A 21,902-nucleotide genomic window follows, 5' to 3' on the forward strand; every position below is an offset into this window, starting at 1 on the left:
CAATGCACTCCAGCCTGGGTGACAGAGTAAAACTGTGTCTCAAAATAAATAAATAAAAAGGCTAAAATGGTGAATTTTGTGTTGCACGTATTTTACCATAATTTTTAAAAGAATGCAGGTTTGACCCTGTTAGGTATGAGGTGCGTCTATTAGACACACAGTGGAGAAGTCAAGGAGGCAGTTAGTGATATATAAAGAGTTCAGGAGAGCAGCGTGGGCAAGGAGAAATTGGGAGGCTGTTGGCGTGTTGGTGGGCTCTCAAGTCAAACTACTGGGTGAGAGCACTGTGGAAATAAATGGAGGCAGAGCAAAGGACCCAGGATTGCGTCCTGGGTCTCCCTGTGTTAAGAGGATGAGGAGAAGGGCAGAACAGCCAGCGAGGGAGACGAGAAGGAGCAGCGCTGAGGCCAGAGGAAAGGCAAGGGGCCGTGTTTCCGTAGGGCAGAGAAAGGCCTCGGGAGGAAGGGCTGCCGACGGCGTAGAGCACCATTCACAGGCCAACCTCATTTCCATCTGACAACGGTGTTGCTGGGTATTTTCAGCTGCCCCCTTCCCAGAAGTCACTCTGCCCTCTCTGCTCACCTGACAGCCTGGCTTGGAGACGCCTGCCAGACTCCACTCAGAGCTGGGTCTTGTCTCTTGTCCTCATGGGAGCTCAGAGGGTAGAATTTGCTATATTGGATTTTACAGAACTTACATTACATTTGCATGAAGAAAGTAAAAGCAATTTGGCCTTTTAATGAAAATTATTTCAGCTCCGTTTTTAATAACCAAAGCCTAGGAAAAGTTTTAAAGAGGCTGAGTGCAGTGGCTCACCCCTGTAATCCCAGCACTTTGGAAGGCCAAGGCAGGCAGATCACCTGAGCTCAGGAATTTGAGACCAGCCTGGCCAACATGGTGAAACCCCGTCTCTACCAAAAAATACAAAAATTAGCTGCGTGTGGTGGCACGCGCCTGTAGTCCTAGCTACTAGGGAGGCTGAGGCAGGAGAACCGCTTGAACCTGGGAAGTGGAGGTTGCAGTGAGCTGAAATTGTACCACTGCACTCCAGCCTGGGCGACAGAGTGATATTCCATCTTAGAAAAAAAAAAAAAAAAAAGGAGTTTTAAAGCTGACTAGGCATTGTCATTTCTTTCCTGTCTTGAGCATAGACAGACCATAGCTCTTTCTTCATAGCTCAGAAGTGGGAACCTCATCTTGCCCAGACCCTCCTTTTTGGGGATTCTCCTGTGTCCTTTCTCGTGTGTTCCCCACTTTGGGATACATTATGTTCCCTGCCTTCCTGGACTCCCTGGTATTTTTTACTAGTATCCTATATCCTTGATCCAATTTTGAGGCAGTAAGAAAGAAACATCCTTTACTTAGCACTGACCGTGTGCACGACGGCCAGCCAGGTAGTTAGCACACAGCATGTCATTGCCCTGTCGCGGTAGTCCTGGGAGGTGGGTGTTACCCCATTTTGTAGAGGAGGTAACCAATGGCTGACATAGCTTGCCCAAGGTCACATAGCAAGGGAATGATGTGACGTTCCCACCGAGGGCTGTTTGGCTCTAAGTTCAGCCCCCTTTCCAGATTGGCAGGCTGCCCCTCACAGCACAGGGAAGGGCTGGGTCATTCCCCTTTGTTGTGACTGTCCCCCAACCCCAAATTGCCAGCTTATGGCTTCACATGTAGAATGTGTTCTGTGAGCATCACGATGACTAACAGCTACTTGCCTTCCCCACTTAGATGTGGGCTGAGGTTAGGGAGGGGGGATGGGGAAGGAGCCACAGTGAGGGATCCTTTTTTTTTTTTTTTGAGACAGGGTTTTGCCTTGTTGCCAGGCTGGAGTGCAGTGGCGCGATCTTGGCTCACTGCAACCTCCGACTCCCGGGTTCAAGTGATTCTCCTGCCTCAGCCTCCTGAGTAGCTGGGATTACAGGCGCCCGCCACCACGCCCAGCTAATTTTTCTATTTTTAGTAGAGACAGGGTTTCACCACATTGGCCAGGATGATCTCAATCTCCTGACCTCGTGATCTGCCCGCCTCAGACTCCCAGAGTGCTGAGATTACAGGTGTGAGCTACGTGCCCGGCCAGTGAGGGATTCTTTAAGATTTCTGACAATGATTCTTGTTCCTCATGCCAACTTGCCCCATTGACCCACTGGGGTGGCAGTGGCAGCTCCCAAAGAGCTCAGGGGCAGCAGCATGGCGGAGTAGCTGAGGGTGGGAGCCGCTGTCTGGAAGCTGCATTTGCAGTACAAGCATGCAGTTTTAACATGGGTACGGTGCCTCCTTGGGCTGGCTCTACGTGAGGGGTGTGAGGGGCTGATGATGGAGATTGAGGAGCTGGCTGAAGCTCCTCCAAGGCTACCTTGGCAGCCATCCTGGGCTACAGAGCAGTCTGGGAGCTCCTGCAGGACCAGCTAGACCATAACAGTGGGTCCAAGACACCCTGCTCCTGGCTCCCTGCCGTCTTAAGCTCTGTGTGAAGACTTTATCTTTGGCCAGTGACTATGCTGGGATTCTATCCCAACCTGCTGTGAGATAGATCGGTTAATGAAAACCAAGTTCATTTTATCTTATTTTGGGATTTTTGTGTATTTCCCACATATTCTACAACAATACGTGTTCTTTTTGTCATTAGAAAAGGTCCTATTTTTAAGAATCAAATTCACTTTGATTCACTTTTGGAAATCACTCCAATATAAGTAAGTATCCCAAGGCACAGACTCTGGGAATTTCCTTCAGTTGTTCTTGACCTTCCCTGAAGGTATGCAGGGAGGTAGGGAGTGGGTGAGAATTTGGGGTGAGAATTGGAGCCATGAAACTGACATATATACATGGCCTTGCCCAAGTTGTTTGGCATCTCTGAGCCTCAGTTTTCCTCATCTTTAAAATCGCGATAATGATGGTTTTTTGGGTTTTGTTTTTTTTTTTTTTTTTTGAGATGCATTCTCACTCTGTTGCCCAGGCTGGAGTGCAGTGGCGTGATCTCGGCTCACTGCAACCTCTGCCTCCCAGGTTCAAGCAATTCTCCTGCCTCAGCCTCCCGAGTAGCTGGAACTATAGGCGCTTGCCATCACGCCGGGCTAATTTTTTGTATTTTTAGTGGAGACAGGGTTTCACCATGTTAGCCGGGATGGTCTCAATCTCCTGACCTCGTGATCCGCCCACCTTGGCCTCCCAAAGTGCTGGAATTACAGGCATGAGGCACCCGTGCCCAGCCCATGATGGTTTTTATCACATGGAATTGTTGTAAAAATTAAATCACAGTGGCTGGCGCACTGTCACCGAGGGCACATAAATGTATGCTCAGCCCTCGTGATGGCAGTGGGCCAGAACAGGCCGCTGTTCCCATGGTATTATGGGCATCTTACATGCAGCATATTTGTTAGGCTGTGTTAGCCCGATTCTGCCCTCCACCCCCGTCAACCCTAGAGTTTACCCAGGACCAAAAGTAAACTTAAATATCCTCTGTGTCATGGCCTCGGCTTACCTAACATGTTCTACAGATAGATGTTGTTCAACAACAGTAATGATACCCTTCAAAGAAGCTTTTGAAAAGCCAACGTGAATTTCCAAAAGCCAACACTAGAGCTGATGTGTGCCCTGCTTGCCTTTATTTTCAAGGTGTTCTGAAGACGCAGATCCCGATATTAACTTACCAAGGTGGATCAGTGGAAGCTGCTCAGGCATTCCTGTGCAAAAATGGGGACCCGCAGACACCTAGGTACGTATGTCGCATCCCAGTTTAAGTGGCGGATGGTGGAAACGCCCATATGCTCTTCACTTAGCCAACAAAGTGTCTGCACACCCAAGCCCTTCAGAGGGAGCGAAGCCATGAGCCAAGGAAGATGGGTTCTCATGGACCAGACTAACAAATGAGGCTGGGGGGTTTCAAGGTATCCTGGGGGCCTCACAGAACATCTCTGGAAGTAACAGGTCCCTGGGCAGCAGAGAGAGACAGCATATCTTCCTGATAGAGGGGAGACATAGCACTAAAAAAAAAAAAAAAAAAAAAAAAGTTTCTCAGTCTCAAACTGTGGGTCATGACATGTTAGAGAATAGTGAAATCATTTCAGTTAGGGTATCCAGCACCTTTGGAAAATGAAATAGAAATACAGCATCATTGTATATCTTGTATAGTAATGGCAAGTACTCCCTCATAAGACTGTGTACATGCAAGTGTGTGTATTTCTTACTGTGTGTTATGGTCAAACTTTTTTTCTTTTAGGGGGTGGGGATGGAGTCTTTATCTGTTGCCTAGGCTGGGGTGCAGTGGCGCGATCTCTGCTCACTACAACCTCCGCCTCCCAGGTGCCAGTGATTCTCCTGCCTCAGCCTCCCAAGTAGCTGGGATTACAGGCACGCACCATCACACCCAGCTAATTTTTCTATTTTTAGTAGAGATGGGGTTTCACCATGTTGGCCAGGCTGGTCTGAAACTCCTGACCTCAAGTGATCCACCCACCTTGGCCTCCCAAAGTGCCAGGATTACAGGCATGAGCCACCGCGCCTGGCCGCTAATTTTTTTATTTTTAGTAGGGACGGGGTTTCGCCATGTTGGCCAGGCTGGTCTTGAACTCCTAACCTCAGGTGATCCACCTGTCTCAGCCTCCCAAAGTGCTGGGATTACAGGTGTGAGCCACTGTACCTGGCCTCTCTGAACTGTTTTTTAAGCTTACACTTCAGTGGCGTAAAACTACACTCACATTGCTGTACAGCCATCATCACCATCCATCTGCAGACCTCTTTTCATCTTGCAAAACTGAAAGTCTGTGCTCCATTCAAAGATAATTCTCCATCTCCTCCTCAACCCAGCCTCTGGCAACCACAATTCTACTTTCTGTCTTTATGAGTTTGACTATTCGAGGCACCTTGTGTAAGTGGAATCATCCAATATTTGTCCTTTTGTGACTGCTTATTTCACTTAGCATAATGTCCTCAATGTTCATTCATGTCACAGCATGTGCCAGAATGTCCTGCCTTTTTAAGGCTGAATAACATTCCCTTGTGTGTATAGACCACATTATGTTTTTGCATTCATCTGTCAGTGGGCACTGGGTTTGCTTCCTGCTCTTGGCTATGCTGAATACTGCTGCTATGAGCATGGGTGGACAAATAACTCCTTGAGTCTTTCACTTCTCCTGGACATACACATAGAAGTGAAATTGCTGGATCATATGGTATGTTCTATTTTTAATTTTTTGAGGAATGGCCATACTATTTTATATAGCAGAGTTGAGATTTTTGAAAAACACTGTCTTGGAAGGATTGAGAGAGATGTAAAAGTACAATATGCATATTCTTTTTTTTGAGACAGAATCTTGCTCTGTCGCCCAGTCTATAGTGCAGTGGCACAATCTTGGCTCACTGCAGCCTCTGCCTCCCGGGTTCAAGTGATTCTCGTGCCTCAGCCTCCCAAGAAGCTGGGATTACAGGCACCCGCCACCATACCTGGCTAATTTTTTATATTTTTAGTAGAGACTGGGTTTCACCATGTTGACCAGGCTGGTCTCGAACTCCTGGCCTCAGGTGATCCACCTGCCTCAGCCTCCTGAAGTGCTGAGATTGCAGACATGAGCCACTGTGCCCAGCCTTTTTTTTTTTTCCCCCTTGAGACGGGGTCTCACTCTGTCACCCAGGCTGGAGTGCAATGGTGTGATCTTGGCTCACTGCAACCTCTGCCTCCTGGGCCCAGGCGATTCTCCCACCTCAGCCTCCCAAGCATAGCTGGGACTACAGGCACTCGCCACCACACCTGGCTAATTTCTGTATTTTTAGTGGAGACAAGGTTTCACCATGTTGCCCAGGCTGGTCTCAAACTCCTGGGCTCAAGTGATCTGCCTGCCTCGGCCTCCCAAATGGCTAGGATTACCGGTATGAGCCACTGCGCCCAGCCTGCATGTTCTTAAATTGGATTGTCAAAACAGTAGTCCTGCTAGTAATCATAGCAACAATAATCACTGTAACCAACACTGACTGAGCACTGAGTAGGTTCAGGGCTTCATGACAAGCGCCTCCTGTGCATTTTCTCATGTTTCCCTTTGAACACTGTGTGAGGTACACAGTGTGGTCATGTCACCCTACAGATGCAGAAAATGAAGGTTAGGGAGGTTAAGCAATTTGCCCAAGGCCCGTGGCAGGAGGACCTGGAATCAGAACCCAGATGATCTGCTGCCACAGCCCACATTCTGACCACTATACCATCTGTGCCCCTTATTTCTCTGTTTCTATCTAAAGAAGTTTATCTTTGTGTTAGACTCACTCCTTTTGTATTTTGAGCCCTTTTCCTTCTGTTTTGTGTCTGTAAACTGAACAAGATCCTGGAAGGGGCCAGCAGCAGGCCAATAGCAGCCAATACTCTCAGCCTCTTGGCCTGGCTATCCCTGCTGGACAAAGGGGATCTGAGTGGGCACCAGCAATGTTCCCATCCCCATAGCAACCCTGACCATTGGCCTCCTGCTTTTATAGCCTCTGACCCTACTAAAGAAATTGCTGAGGATTCCAATGCTGGATTTTTTTTTTTTTTCAAGACAGAGTCTTACTCTGTCGCCCAGGCTGGAGTGCAGTGGTGCGATCTCAGCTCACTGCAACCTCTGCCTCCCGGGTTCAAGTGATTCTTCTGCATCAGCCTCCCGAGTAGCTGGGACTACAAGCACCCACCACCACGCCCAGCTAATTTTTTAGTAGAGATGAGGTTTCACCATGTTGGCCGGGCTGTTCTCGAACTCCTGACCTCAAGTGATCCACCTGCTTCGGCCTCCCAAACTGCTGGGATTATAGGCATGAACCACCATGCCCAGCCCCAATGCTATATCTTAAACTGACTTAATAGACTAGTCTCCAGCACAGGTCCTGGCCCAGAGTAGATGTGCCACCAAGTTCTGCAGGAATGAAGGAATCAAAGAAAAAAAGAAGCGTCTTTCGCGCAAACACAAGAAGGCATGACCCAGCAAAGCAGCCACCTCTCCATAGGACCCTCTGACCTCTGACCTTTGCTTCCCGGCAGATTTGACCACCTGGTGGCCATAGAGCGTGCCGGAAGAGCTGCTGATGGCAATTACTACAATGCAAGGAAGATGAACATCAAGCACTTGGTTGACCCCATTGACGATCTTTTTCTTGCTGCGAAGAAGATTCCTGGAATCTCATCAACTGGTAAGTATGGAGTACTGGGGATGCACCAAGAACGTGGCCCCATGAAGTGTCTTTTGTTGTTGTTGTTGTTATGGAGTCTTGCTCTGTCACCCAGGCTGGAGTGCAGTGGCACGATCTTGGCTCACTGCAACCTCTGCCTCCTGGGTTCGAGCAATTCTTCTGCCTCAGCCTCCCAAGTAGCTGGAATTACAGGCATGCACCACCACGCCTGGCTAATTTTTGTATGTTTGGTAGAGACGAGGTTTCACCATGTTGGCCAGGCTGGTCTGGAACTCCTGACGTCAAGTGATCTACCCACCTCAGCCTCCCAAAGTGCTAGGATTACAGGCGTGAGCCACTGTGCTCAGCCTAAGTGTGTTTTTATTGACTATTGAACACACGACCAGAAAGAGTTATGTGGGGACCATCATTTTCCACTGCAAAGACGGTCTTTGTTCATTACGGTTGGTATAGACACTAATGACACCACCATTTAGAAATCCAACATCCTCACAAGCAAGGGAGGGAAAGCATATTCTATTTGCCTGACTCTAAAGTAATAAAACTAATATTAAAGTAATATCAATAGTAAAATTGAGGCATGGCATATTATTTTGGTCATATAGGACAGAATGTACCATATATTATTTTGTGAAGCATGTTAATTTAAAAATTATCTAATATATGATTAATATTTCAATTTTTTTTTTGAGACAGAGTCTCACTCTGTTGCCCAGGCTGGAGTGCAGTGGTACAATCTCAGCTCACTGCAGCCTCCACCTCCTGGGCTCAAGCAATCCTCCCATCTCAGCCTCCCAAGTAGCTGGGACTACAGGGTGTGCTACCATGCTTGGGTAATGTCACGTGCGTCTGTGTGAAGAGAGTCCACAAACAGGCTTTGTGTGAGCAACAGGCTGTTTATTTCACCTGGGTGCAGGCAGGCTGAGTCCGAAAAAGGAGTCAGCGAAGGGTCGTGGGATTATCATTAGTTCTTATAGGTTTGGGATAGGTGGTGGAGTTAGGAGCAATTTTTTGCGGGCAGGGGGTGGATCTCACAAAGTACATTCTCAAGGGTGGGGGAGGATATTACAAAGTACCTTCTTCAGGGTGGGGGAGGATATTACAAAGTACCTTCTCAAGGGTGGGGAGGGTGTATCTTACAAAGTACATTCACAAGGGCAGGGGAATATCACAAAGTACATTATGGCAAGGGCGGGGAGGGTGTATTGTCACAAAGTCAATTGATCAGTTAGGGTAGGGCAGGAACAAATCACGATGGTGGAGTGTCATCAGTTAAGGCAGGAACTGGCATTTTCACTTCTTTTGTGGATCTTCAGTTGCTTCAGCCCATCTAGATGTATACGTGCAGGTCACAGGGGATATGATGGCTTAGCTTGGGCTCAGAGGCCTGACAGGTAACTTTTTTTTTTTTTGAGATGGAGTCTCACTCTGTTACCTGTCTCAAATGCAGTGGCGCAATCTCGGCTCACTGCAACCTCCGCCTCCCAGGTTTAAGCAATTCCCCTGCCTCAGCTTCCCGAGTAGCTAGGACTATAGGCGCATGCCACCACGCCCAGCTAATTTTTGTATTTTTAGTAGACATGGGGTTTCACTATGTTGGCCAGGATGGTCTCGATTTCTTGACCTCGTGATCCGCCTGCCTCTGCCTTCCAAAGTGCTGGGATTACAGGTGTAAGCCACCATGCCCGGCTGCTTGGCTAACTTTTAAACATTTTTTTGGTAGAGATGAGGTCTCACTATATTGCTCAGCCTGGTCTCGAACTCCTGAGCTCAAGCTATCTTCCCACCTCAGCCTCCCAAACTGTTTCAATTACAGGCATGAGCCACTGAGCCTGGCCTTCAGTCGTTAATAATATAATAATATGGTCTGGGCGTGGTGGCTCACACCTGTAATTCCAGCACTTTGGGAGGCTGAGGCAGGTGGATCACCTGAGCTCAGGAGTTCCAGACCAGCCTGGCCAACATGGCACAACCCCGTCTCTATTAAATATATAAAAAAATTAACCAGGCATGGTGGTGGGCTCCTGTGATTCCAGCTCCTCAGGAGGCTGAGGCAGGAGAATTGCTTGAACCCAGGAGGTGGAAGTTACAGTGAGCCAAGATCGCGCCACTGCACTCCAGCCTGGGCGACAAGAGCAAGACTCTGTCTCAAAAATAATAATAATAATAATAATAATAATGTGATAATTTGTGTTTGCACAAAACTTTGTACTTTTCCAAGAGGCTTCACATTCATTGTAGTGTTTAAGCTTCTGTGAAAACCCTGTGAGGCAGGTAAGGTGAGTCCCAGGAGGTTTTCCCAGATGGCGCAGCTAATTAGTGTTGCTGGTAGCATTAGGAGTAGACTGCAGACTCCTGGGGCCCCAGCCCTTTATCAGGGAATCATGCCTTTATGAATTGCGGAAAGGCTTAGTGTAAGCCCCAAGGAGAACCTTTCTTCCCTCTGGGTGGGTCTCAGGCCCTGGGGTAATGAAGACTTGTTTGTCATTGCATGTTTCCAAGTGTTTCCCAGACTCATTAGTCTCCTTTGGCTTTTGAGGTTTTGATGAGACAGTGAGAGCCTTCTGCGCTGATTAGAACGTTTCTGCAAATCGCCCTGGCTTTTCCCAGAAGAGGCTGTGGGTGTGGTGCACACAGTGCGGTTGGCTTCCAGCTTCCTGTTGGCTTCCAGCTTCCTGTTGGCTTCCAGCTTCCTGTCCCTCCGGCTGGGCAGGCAGAGGACCTCAGCCTGTGGGGGAGGGGTTCTCAGAGTGGAGAAAAAAGAGATCTCTGTGGCTACAGGGGCAAACAGGGTCTGAGGGAGCTGCTAGAGCAATCCCGTCCTCCCACACCCGCAATGGGACCCCCATCTGTGCTGTGACGACCCTGAGATCCCAGAGGAGGCAGGTGGAGCTGGCCGTTCATGGCTTCGAACCGCCCCCTTTGTAGACCCTTGGGCCCTTCTCACGGCCTCAGGAGCCCAGTCTCCTCCTGTGGCCCCCGCCGCCCCAGACCCTCCTGCCCAGCAAGGCTACCTCCTGAATTTTCCTTTTTCTCTTCTTCTTCCTCAAAACCCCTGTTCCTCAGGTTCCATGGGCAACTGCCATGTCATGGGCATAGTGCTCAATTGAGAATCAAGTCACCTGGGTTTAAGTCTCCACCTTCCACTGACTGCCCAGGTACTGCCCCCATCAGGGACTGCCAGCTCTATACAGTGAGGATCATGATACCCATGACAGGATGGATGTGAAGCCCAAAAGAGATGGAATTCATAAGATGCTAAAAAGAGACAGCTATAGACCAGATACCAGTGTTACATGTTGGGTGTTATTCTCCTCATTCAGTGGGCTGTCATAGATCTAGAGAAGTGTTCTGAGAAAAACCATCAGGATATAAATCTAAGGTGTTTGGTCCTTCACAATTGTGTCATTCTTTTGGCCAAATTCACTCCCTGATGTTTGAGATGGATCAGCTCTAGATCCCACAAAGAACACTAGCCTCTGACAGAATTCTTCCGCATCTTCCAAGCCTTTATAGAAGCAGACACAAAAACAATGATGTACCTGTTCCATAGGCTTGGAGAGTCCAGCCCTCTGGCCTTGAGAGACTCAGACAGGTGCATTGCATGAAAGGTTATTGAGACAGCTGTAACCCTCTTCTAGAGGTGGATTCAGCTGAACATCTAGTTTACAGACTCCTCTATAAATACCTGGACACAGGAGCTGTGTCCCCCAGATCTACAGCACCACCTCAAAGGGTACATGCTTCAGGGCTTGATAGGTTTTTTTGTGTGTTTTTTTTTTTTTTTTTTAGATGGAGTCTTGCTCTGTTGCCCAGTCTGGAGTGCAGTGATGTGATCTCAGCTCCCTATAACCTCTGCCTCCCAGTTTCAAGTGATTCTCCTGGCTCAGCCTCCACAGTAGCTGGGACTACAGGCATGTGCCACCATGTCTGGGTAATTTTTGTATTTTTAGTAGAGGCAAGGTTTTGCCATATTGGCCAGACTGGTCTCGAACTCCTGATCTCAAGTGATCTCCCTGCCTTGGCCTCCCAAAGTGCTGGGATTACAGGCATGAGCCACTGCACCCAGACTAGATTTTTAAATCTTATCCATACAAGGGTAGAGGTATCTGCTAGTTATTTTTAGCCAATCCACCTATCTTGAACACCATTCATTTCACCAATGAATTAAATCATTTTTAATATGTATTTATTCTAGCATTCATTTATTACACTAATTAACAAATTCTCTGATGCAGACTATCAGATGGGCCTCAAGACTATGTAGCCTCTTTCAAATGCTTACTAACCACACTTGGAGTGTGTATTCCTGATTAGGATATTTCAGATGTTAACCAGGTACCCCTGTGGTATAGATTAAAATGAACTAAAACACATACATTTCACATTCTTTCAGCAGAAGCCTTTAAAGTAAGTTCTAGAACTGACTTTGCACCAGATCCCCCGGGGGGCTCAGTGAGCGGGAGCCACTGGAAGGGAGGTCCTGAGTGTCACCATACCCACATCTCCCATGGGCCTGGCACCAAGAGCATAGAACGTGCTCCATCTTTGCTGGAGAATGTGACCCAAAAGGAGACATGCCCACACTGTAGTGTGTTCCAAACGTGGACTCATTTTTAACTAAAGAAGTTTCTAGAAGGCCTAAGGGGAAGTACCACAACTCCTGGTTGTCTGAAAATATATCCAGAGCCAACCTTTTTGCCCTCCCAAAGGCAACAAGCACATGTAGGGCTGCCTTGCTTCAGGCCTCCCCCATTTTGCCCTGGTCCCGTGCACTGACTCAGCTCCCCTTCCCTTCAGGAGTCGGTGATGGAGGCAACGAGCTTGGGATGGGTAAAGTCAAGGAGGCTGTGAGGAGGCACATACGGCACGGGGATGTCATCGCCTGCGACGTGGAGGCTGACTTTGCCGTCATTGCTGGTGAGCACTCGGATGGCCGCCCAGTCCGGCCGGCTACCCAGGGTGAGCGACCTGGCTTGGAGCCTGACCAGGCCAGAAGCTCTTCTTCTCTGCAGTCAGTCCATAGGGCACCAGGGCAGGGAGGGGAGGTGGTGCTCAGCCTATGACCTTTCATTCAGTCATTCAACAAACATTTACAGTGTGCCAGGCAGTGTTCTGAGCACTGGGGTTATAGCTGCAATGACCCTGCTCCACAGAGCTCCCATTCTAGGACTGGGAGATAGAGAATGAGCCCTGACAAATAAACACATCAGATGATTCTAAAGAGTAATAAGAGCTTTGGGGGCGATAGTACAGGTCGCTGAGAGAGGGTGATGGGAGGGCCCCTTCAGATCAGTGGTCAGGAAGGCTTTTCTGAAGAGAGTGATCTGTGCTTTTATCTGCATGAACAGTAAGAAAACTATCTGGTAAGTGTTTGGAGGATGCGAGAAGCTTTCTACCTTTCCTTTCACCTACTTCTGCCTTGGGCTGCCCTGTGCCTCCCTACTGTTGCTCCTCTCCCGCAGGACCCACCTTTCCTGTGTCCAGGTCCGTCTAGGTGTGGCCTCCTCCTTTGACCTCACCACACATTTCAAGAAAATTGGGAGATCCCTGAAAAAGGCTCTCTCCCACTTCATGATCATAGCCTGGAAAGGAATGGAACCTCGTGGGAACCAGTGCTAGGGTGGGAAAACCTGATTCGTAATTGAGAAATGGCTGGAGGCTCAGTATGGGCAAGTATGAGAGTTTAAAACTCCAGGCGACCCAGTGGTCTGGGGGCCCTCGTGCTCTTGTGAGTTTTGCCTCTGGGCGTTCAACCAAGTTCTCACAATGGATATTAGAAAAAAATCCCCTCGTGCTTGCATCATTGGAGGGAAAAATGAGTCATTTTCAAGTAGGCCAGGGCATTCTCTTCTTCTTCTTCTTCTTCTTCTTCTTCTTCTTCTTCTTCTCCGTCTCCTTCTCCTCCTCCTCCTCCTCCTCCCTTTCTTCTTCTTCTTTTTTTTTTTTTTTTTTTTTTTGAGCGTGCTTTGTTGCCCAGGCTGGAGTGCAGTAGTGCCATCTTGGTCGCTGCAACCTCCGCCTCCCGGGTTAAAGCGATTCTCCTGCCTCAGCCTCCCGAGTAGCTGGGATTACAGGTACATGCCACCACACCTGGATAATTTTTGTATTTTTAGTAGAGATAGGGTTTCACCATATTGGCCAGGCTGGTCTCGAACTCCTGCCTTCAAGTGATTTGCCCACCTTGGCCTCCCAAAGTGCTGGGATTACAGGCCTTAAATCTCCCTGGGGAAAGCGAAATACCCAACCCCACCTTTCTTCAGCCTTCCACGTGGGAGAGGGACATACCCAATTCCAGCTCCCTCTAGCAATCTGTGCCACGTAAGGGGGAGAGGACAAAACTGAGAAGCAGTAGTGAAGTTCACAGTCCAGGGCACAGGCTTACTAAAAGGCAGAGACCTAATCATAGGACTGCAGAGCCCTTCCCCTCCCCGACACATCTTACCACCATCACTAAAGGTCCATTTGCTACAGTTTCTTTTTTTTTTCTTTTCTGAGACAGAGTCTCACTCTATCACCCAGGCTGGAGTGCAGTGGCACGATCTCAGCTCACTGCAACTTCTGCCTCCCGGGTTCAAACTATTCTTATGCCTCAGCCTCCTGAGTAGCTGGAATTACAGGTGCGCACTACCATGCCTGGATAATTTTTGTGTTTTTGGTAGAGACGGGGTTTCGCCATGTTGACCAGAGTGGTCTCGAACTCCTGACCTCAGGTGATCCACCCACCTCAGCCTCCCAAAGTGCTGGGATTACAGGCATGAGCCACTGCGCCTGGCCCAGCTGCAGTTCCTTTTACCAAGTAAATTATGTCCACCTTTCAACAACAAAAAAAATTTACAAGAAACACCGATAAGCAAAAACACAATTTGAAGAGAAGTTACAAACAGAGTCAGACATGTCAGAAATGACGGGATTATCAGACCTGGAATTCTTTTAAAAGTATGATTAATATAATAAAGTCTTCACTGCAAAAAATAGGCAACATGCAAGAAGAGATGGATAATGCAAGCAGAGACATGAAAATTTTAAGAAAGAATAAATAAGAAGTGGTAGATCAGCCTGGGCAACATGGCAAGATACCATCTCTGTAAACAATTTAAAAATTAGCCAGGTGTCGTGGTGCATACCTATAGTCCTGGCTACGTGGGGGGGCTGAGGTGGGAGGAGAACTTGAGCCCAGGAAGATGAGGCTGCAGTGAGCTGTGATTGAGCCATTGTACTCCAGCCTGGATGACAGAGCAAGACACTGTCTCAGGAAAAAAAAAAAAAAAAGAGGAAGTAGATAGAGATCAATAACTCTGTAACAGAAATGCAGAATGCCTTTGATGGGCTTATTAGTAGACCGGACATGGCTATGGAAAGAATCTCTGAGCTTCAAGATATCTCAACAAAAGCTGCCAAAACTGAAAAAAAAGCAAAGAGAAAAAGTGCTGGGGGAAAAAAAAACCCACAACAGATCAGAATATCTAAGAACTGTGGGACAACTACAAAAGGTATAACCTAGACTAATGGGAATACTAGAAGGAGAAGAAAGAGAGCGATAAATAGTAGCATTTGAAGCAATAGCAAATGAGAATTTCCCCCATATTAATGTCAGACACCAAACCATAGATCCGGGAAGCTGAGAGAACACTAAAGAGGATAAATGCCAAAAAGCTACATCTAGACATATCATATTCAAACTTCAGAAAACCAAAGATAAAGGAAGAATTCTGAAAGAAGCCAGAGGCAGGTGGGGAAAACCCTTTACCTATACAGGAACAAAGGTAAAAATTACATTCATTTGACTTCTCTACAGAAAACATATAAGCATGAAGAGACTGGACTATTTTTATTTTTTTCTTTTTTCTTTTTTTTTGAGATGGAGTTTCACTCTTGTTGCCGAGGCTGGAGTGCAATGGCGCAATCTCGGCTCGCCACAGCCTCCTCCTCCCAAGTTCAAGCGATTCTCCTGCCTCAGCCTCCCGAGTAGCTGGGATTACAGGCATGCGCTACCACGCCCTGCTAATTTTGTATTTTTTTAGTAGAGACGGAGTTTCTCCATGTTGGTCAGGCTGGTCTCAAACTCTCGACCTCAGGTGATTCGTCTGCCTTGGCCTCCCAAAGTGCTGGGATTACAGGAGAGAGCCACCACGCCCGGCCACCTTTAATCTTTACATTACTGAACTATTTAAAGTATTGAGAGGTAGCAACCAATGCAGAATTCTGTGCCCTGCAAAATTTGCTTCAAAAATAAAGGAGAAATAAAGACTATGAAGCAAATAAAAATTGAGAGAATTTGTTGCCACAACTGCCTTGCAAGAAATGTTAGAAGAAATTCTTCAGAGAGAAGGAAAATTATATCTGTCAGAGACTTGAATCTACATAAAGAAAGGAAGAGTATCAGTGAATAAAATAAGTGAGGGTAAAATAAAAACTTTTGTATTTATTTTTGACCTTACATATCAGTTTGCTCAAAATAATAATAACAGCACAAAATAATAATAACAGTGCATTCCATTATGTATGCCATATGTATATATATGCTTATGTATGTTTGTGTAGAAGTGACCCAAATGACAGGCCAGGCACGGTGGCTCACGCCTGTAATCGTAGCACTTTGGGAGGCCGAGGCGGGCAGATCACTTGAGCCTAGGAATTTGATACCAGCCTGGGCAACATGGGGAAACCCCATCTCTACAAAAAATAGAAGAATTAGCTGAGTATGGTGGTGGACGCCTATAGTCCTAGCTACTTGGGAGGCTGAGGTAGGCAGATCACCTGAGCCTGGGAGGTTGAGGCTGCGGTGAGCCATGATTGTGCCACTATACTACAGCCTGGGTGACAGAGTCAGACCCTGTCTCAAAAAAAATAGAATAAGTGACACAAATGACAGCAATGGTACATGGAATGAGAGGGAAGAATTAGCAATGTTTTGTTATAAGTTGCTTGTGCTACCCATGAAGTGGTATACTGTTATTTCAAAGCAGACTTTGTTGTAAATGTATGTTGCAAACTCTAGGGCATCCACTAAAAAATTAATTTTAAAAGTAGAATTTACATGCTAAGAAAGGAGAGAAAATAGAATCATATAAAATACTCAGTTAAAACCACAAAAGGCAGAAAAAGTGTAGAAGACAAAAATGGGGCCAGGCGCAGTGGCTCACACCTGTAATCCCAGCACTTTGGGAGGCCGAGGTGGGTGGATCACCTGAGGTCAGGAGTTCGAGACCAGCCTTGCCAACATGGTGAACTCCCATCTCTACTAAAATACAAAAGTTAGCAGGAGAATCACTTGAACCTAGGAGGCAGAGGTTGCAGTAAGCCGAGATAATGCCACTGCACTCCAACCTGGGGAACAGAGTGAGATTCGGTCTCAAAACAACAACAACGACGACAAAACAAAAGAACAAAACAAAAAAATGGAATAAAGAACAAAGGCAATAAAGAAAACAGCAGCAAATATGGTAGCTATTAATCCAACTATATCAATAATCACCATAAATGTCAATGCCACAGTGAACTTAAAAAATCAAGATTGAGGCCGCGTGCGGTGGCTCACGCCTGTAATCCCAGCACTTTGGGAGGCCGAGGCTGGGTGGATCACGAGGTCAGGAGATCGAGACCATCCTGGCTAACACAGTGAAACCCCGTCTCTACTAAAAATCAAAAAATTAGCTGGGCGTGGTGGCGGGCACCTGTAGTCCCAGCTACTCAGCAGGCTGAGGCAGGAGAATCGCTTTAACCCGGGAGGCGGAGCTTGTAGTGAGCCAAGATCACGCCACTGCACTCCAGCCTGGGTGAAAGAGCGAGACTCCATCTCAAAAAACAAAAAAGAAAATAAAACAGAAAGCAAAAAACAAACCAAGATTGAGCTATATATTGTCTGCAAGAAATTCACTTTAACTGTAAAGACACTATATGTGTCTTTATATTTAAACAGATTAGCAATAAAGAGATAGAGAAAGATATGCCATGTTAACACTAATAAAAAGAAAGCAGAAGTAGCTACATTAATTTCAGACATAGCAGACTTCAGAACAGGGAAAGTTATCAGGATAAAGAGGGGGATTACATAATGATAAAGGGGCCAGTATTCAAATAAGACATAATACGCCAGGCACAATGGTGCACACCTGTAATCCCAGCACATTGAGAGGCTGAGGCAGGTGGATTGCTTTAGCCTAGACATTCAAGACCAGCCTGGACAACATGGTGAAACCCCATCTCTACAAAAACCCCATCTCTACAGGCAAATGCCTGTAGTCCCAGCTGTTCAGGAGGCTGAGGTGGGAGGATCACTTGAGGAGGCAGAGGTTGCAGTGAGCCAAGATTGCCCCAAAAAAAGTTGATGGGGGGGAGCATAACTGATAAAACTGCAAGGAAAAATAGACAAATTCACTATTACAGTTGGAGACTTCAACACCCCTGTATCAGAAATGGGCAGATCAGCCTGGGCAACATAACAAGACCATATCTCTACAAAAACAGCAAAAAATTAGCTGAGCATGGTGGTGTGCACTTGTAGACCTAGCCTCTCAGGAGGCTGAGGCAGGAGGATTGCTTGAGTTTAGGAGTTGGAGGCTGCAGTCTGCTGGGTTGTACCACTGCACTCCAGCCTTGGCAACAGAGTGAGACTCTGTCTCTCAAAAATAAAAATAAAATAATTTTTTAATAAAAAATAAAAATCAAGTAATGTAATCCATTACGTCAATAGGCTAAGGAAGAAAAATCACATGTTCATGTCAATAGATACAGAAAAAGCATTTGACAAAAGCAACACCCATTCATGATAAAAACTTTCAGCAAACTAGAAATAGAGGGGAACTTCCTGAACTCGATAAAGAACATCTACAAAAAACCTACAGCTAACATCGTAATTAATGGTGAGAAACTAGTTTTTCCACTAAGATTAGGAAAAAGGCAATGATGTTCCCTCTTACCACTATTTTCAACATTGTATTGGAAGTGCTGCCTAATGCCGTAAGACAAGAAAAAGAAATATAATGTAAACAGATTGGGAAGGAATAAATAAAATTGTCTTTGCTTGCAGATGGCATGATTGTCTGTGTAGAAAATTCAAAAGAATCAACAAAATCTCCCAGAGCTAATAAGTGATTATAGTATGGTTGCAAGATACAAAGTTAAATACTTTAATTGTATATGTCAGCAATGAACAAGTGGAATTTAAAATTAAAAACACATTACCATTTACATTAATTCCCTAAAATGAAATACTTAGGAATAAATCTAAAAATATGAAGGAAAATACAAAACATTGATGAAAGGTATCAAAAAAGAACTATATCAATGGAGAGATATTCCATGTTCATGGATAAGAAGACTCGATATTGTCAAGATGTCAGTTCTCCCAACTTGATCAATAAATTTGATATAGTCCCAGTCAAAATCCCAGTAAGTTATTTTGTGGATATCAACAACCTGATTCTAAAGTTTATATGAAGAGGCAAAAGATACAGAATAACAAACTGAATATTGAAAAAGAACGAGATCAGAGGACTGACACTACCTGACTTTAAGACTTACTATAAAGCTACAGTAATCAAGGCAGTGTGGTATTGGTGAAAGAACAGATAAATAGATCAATGGAACAGAATAGACAGCCCAGAAGTAGACCCACACAAATAGGGCCACACAATGTTTGACAAAGGAGCAAAGGCAATGCAATGGAGCAAAGGTAGTCTTTTCAACAAATGGTGCTGGAACTGGAACTACTGGACATCCACATGAGAAAAAATCAATCTAGACATATAGACGTTACATCCTTTACAATAATAAACTCAAAATGGATTATGAACTTAAACATAAAACACAAAACTATAAAACTCCTGTAAGGTAACATAGGAGAATATTTGGATGAGCATGAGTATGATTATGACTTCTTTTTATTTTAATTTGATTGATTGATTGATTGAGACTGTGTCTTGCTTTGTCACCCAGGCTGGAGTGCAGTGGCATGAACTCAGCTCACTGCAACCTCCACCTCCTGGGTTCAAGTGATTCTCCTGCCTCAGCCTCCCCAGTAGCTGGGATTACAGGCACACGCCAACATGCCTGGCTAATTTTTGTATTTTTTTAATAGAGACGGGGTTTCACCATGTTGGCCACACTGGTCTCGAACTCCTGACCTCGAGTGATCCACCTGCCTCGGCCTCTGAAAGTGCTGGGATTACAGGCATGAGCCACCACATCTGGCTGATTATGACTTTTTAGATAACAACACCAAAGGCATTATCCGTGAAAGAAACAGTTGATAAGCTGGACTTCACTAAAGTTTCAAACTTCTGCCCTGCAAACGACAATGTTAAGAGAAGGAGAAGGCTGGGTGCAGTGGCTCATACCTATAACCCTAACACTTTGGGAGACCAAGGCAGGAGGACCATTTGACACTAGGAATTTGAGACCAGCCTGGGCAATGTAGCGAGAACTTGTCTCTACAAAAAAATTTTAAAATATTAGCTGGGCTTAGTGGCATCTCTGTGTCTGTTTCCCAGTTTTCAAATGGAGATAATAATAGTACTTACACCTCACAAGCTTGTTGTAAGGACTCCAGGAGCTACTCTATGTAAGGCATTTACAACAGTGCCACATGTTGTAAATATTCAATCAAAGAAGATACTCTGTTCATTGAATATAAGATGTCATTGATGGCCAGGCATAGTGGCTCATGCCTGTAATCCCAGCACTTTGGGAAGCCAAGGCAGGAGGATCACTTGAGTCCAAGAGTTCCAGGTTACAGTGAGCTATGATTGCGCCACTGCACTCCAGCCTGGGTGACAGAGTGAGACCCTGTCTTTATTAAAAAATGAAGAAAAGGCTGGGCGCAGTGGCTCACACCTGTAATCCCAGCACTTTGGGAAGCTGAGGCAGGCAGATCACGAGGTTAGGAGATCGAGACCATCCTGGCTAACATGGTGAAACCCCATCTCTACTAAAAATACAAAAATTAGCTCGGCATGGTGGCAGGTGCCTATAGTCCCAGCTACTCAGGAGGCTGAGGCAGGAGAATGGCGTGAACCCAAGAGGCGGAGCCTGCAGTGAGCCGAGATCATGCCACTGCACTCCAGCCCGGGTGACAGAGTAAGACTCCGTCTCTAAAAAAAAAAAAAAATCCCACCACTTTGGGAAGCCAAGGCAGGAGGATCATTTCAGTCCAAGAGTTCCAGGTTACAGTGAGCTATGATTGTGCCACTGCACTCCAGCCTAGGTGACAGAGTGAGACCCTGTCTTTATTAAAAAATGAAAAAAGCCAGGCACGGTGACTCACACCTATAATCCCAGCACTTTGGGAGGCCAAGACGGGTTGGTCGTTTGAAGCCAGGAGTTCAGGGCCAGCCTGGCCAACGCAGTAAAACTCCATCTCTACTAAAAATACAAAACTAAGCCAGGCGTGTTGGCATGCACCTGTAGTCCCAGCTACTCGGGAGGCTGAGGGAGGAGAATTGCTTGAACCCAGGAAGCAGAGGTTGCAGTGGGCTGAGATCATAACACTGCACTCCAGCATGGGCAACAGAGCAAGACTTGCTCTCAAAAAAAAAAATAATAATTATTGATGACAAGAATTAACAATAATTTACATACTACTAAGAAAGGAAAATACAACCAATTGTAACTGTAAGATACTATTAATTATAAGATACATCTCAATTTCAGAGATGTAAGTGTAACAAAAGTACATCTTAAAATCAGTAGAATACAGTATTATTTTTATCGTATGGTCTTTACCTGCCACGTTTTGATATATGGCTTGTATTTTCATGCCACATGCCTTTGTATTCACTGAAGATTGTTTGTTTGTTTGTTTGTTTGTTTGTTACGGAGTCTTGGTCTGTTGCCCAGACTGGAGTGCCATGGCATGATCTTGGCTCACTGCAACCTCCACCTCCCGGGTTCAAGTGGTTTTCCTGCCTCAGCCTCCTGAGTAGCTAGGATTACAGGCACCCTCCACCACGCCCTGCTGATTTTTGTATTTTTAGTAGAGATGGGGTTTCACCATGTTGGCCAGGCTGGTCTCGAACTCCTAACCTCAGGTGATCTGCCCATTTCAACCTCCCAAATTGCTAGGATTACAGGCTTGAGCCACCGTGCCCGGCCAAGGGAGTTTTTGTTTGTTATTTTTTTTGTTTGTTTTTCTTTTTTTTTTTTAACTGGAATTGCTCCCATTCCTCCACCCCTCTTCTGGCAAAATTTTACTCAACCTACAAGGCCCATATTAAATGACCCCTTTTCTATGAATCTTTCCTAAACCAGTCAGAATGAGTGCCCCCTCTCCATGCTCCCATAATTCTGCGTGAACATCTCAGTCATAGTGGCCCGTGGCTGGCCGTGTGCACAGTCCCTCCTCTCCTGAGCAGAATTGACCTCTCTTTCGTGGTGCTCTAGCACTTATTGCTTACCAGGCCCTTCATCAATTCTTCTTCAACTGCATGGAGAACTCAAGCAGGTTTCAGGGAAGAGCCAAGGAGATGGTCCCAAAACTGGGAAATAAGCCCTTTGGGCATGTGATGGAAAAGGAAGGGAAGTCTGAGGCTGATTTGGGAGTGATCTTTGAGCACATGAAGAGGTCATGCGATCCAGCGCGACGGGGCTGTTTCCTGCCCTCTGAGGGTGGGCTTCCACGTGGCACAGGGGATTCAGCTCAGCCAGAGGGGAGAGTTTCTTCATGTTGAGTGTTTTGGAATGGGTTTCTACGGTTATTGCCTAAACCTTTTTTTCTGATGGTCATTAGCAGTGGATTAAGTAGTTTAGAGCAAGGGTTT

At 46.1% G+C, this 21,902-nt stretch overlaps 1 protein-coding gene across 11 annotated transcripts in view; it reads left to right on the forward strand.

Moving 5' to 3' along the window:
* Positions 1 to 21,902, forward strand: part of DGLUCY (D-glutamate cyclase) — a 165,300-nt gene that overhangs the window by 132,430 nt on the left and 10,968 nt on the right. For 9 of the 11 annotated variants that reach the window (NM_001358312.2, NM_001358310.2, NM_001358311.2 and 6 more), the window contains 3 exons: positions 3,613 to 3,712; positions 6,995 to 7,143; positions 11,944 to 12,063. In NM_001358312.2, coding sequence (NP_001345241.1) covers positions 3,613 to 3,712; positions 6,995 to 7,143; positions 11,944 to 12,063 — 369 coding nt within the window. The remainder of the gene's footprint in view (positions 1 to 3,612; positions 3,713 to 6,994; positions 7,144 to 11,943; positions 12,064 to 21,902) is intronic. The other 2 variants (NM_001286472.2, NM_001102369.3) reach the window with 1 other exon arrangement.

This window comes from Homo sapiens, chromosome 14 (assembly GCF_000001405.40).
Source record: "Homo sapiens chromosome 14, GRCh38.p14 Primary Assembly".
Lineage (NCBI taxonomy): Eukaryota > Metazoa > Chordata > Mammalia > Primates > Hominidae > Homo > Homo sapiens.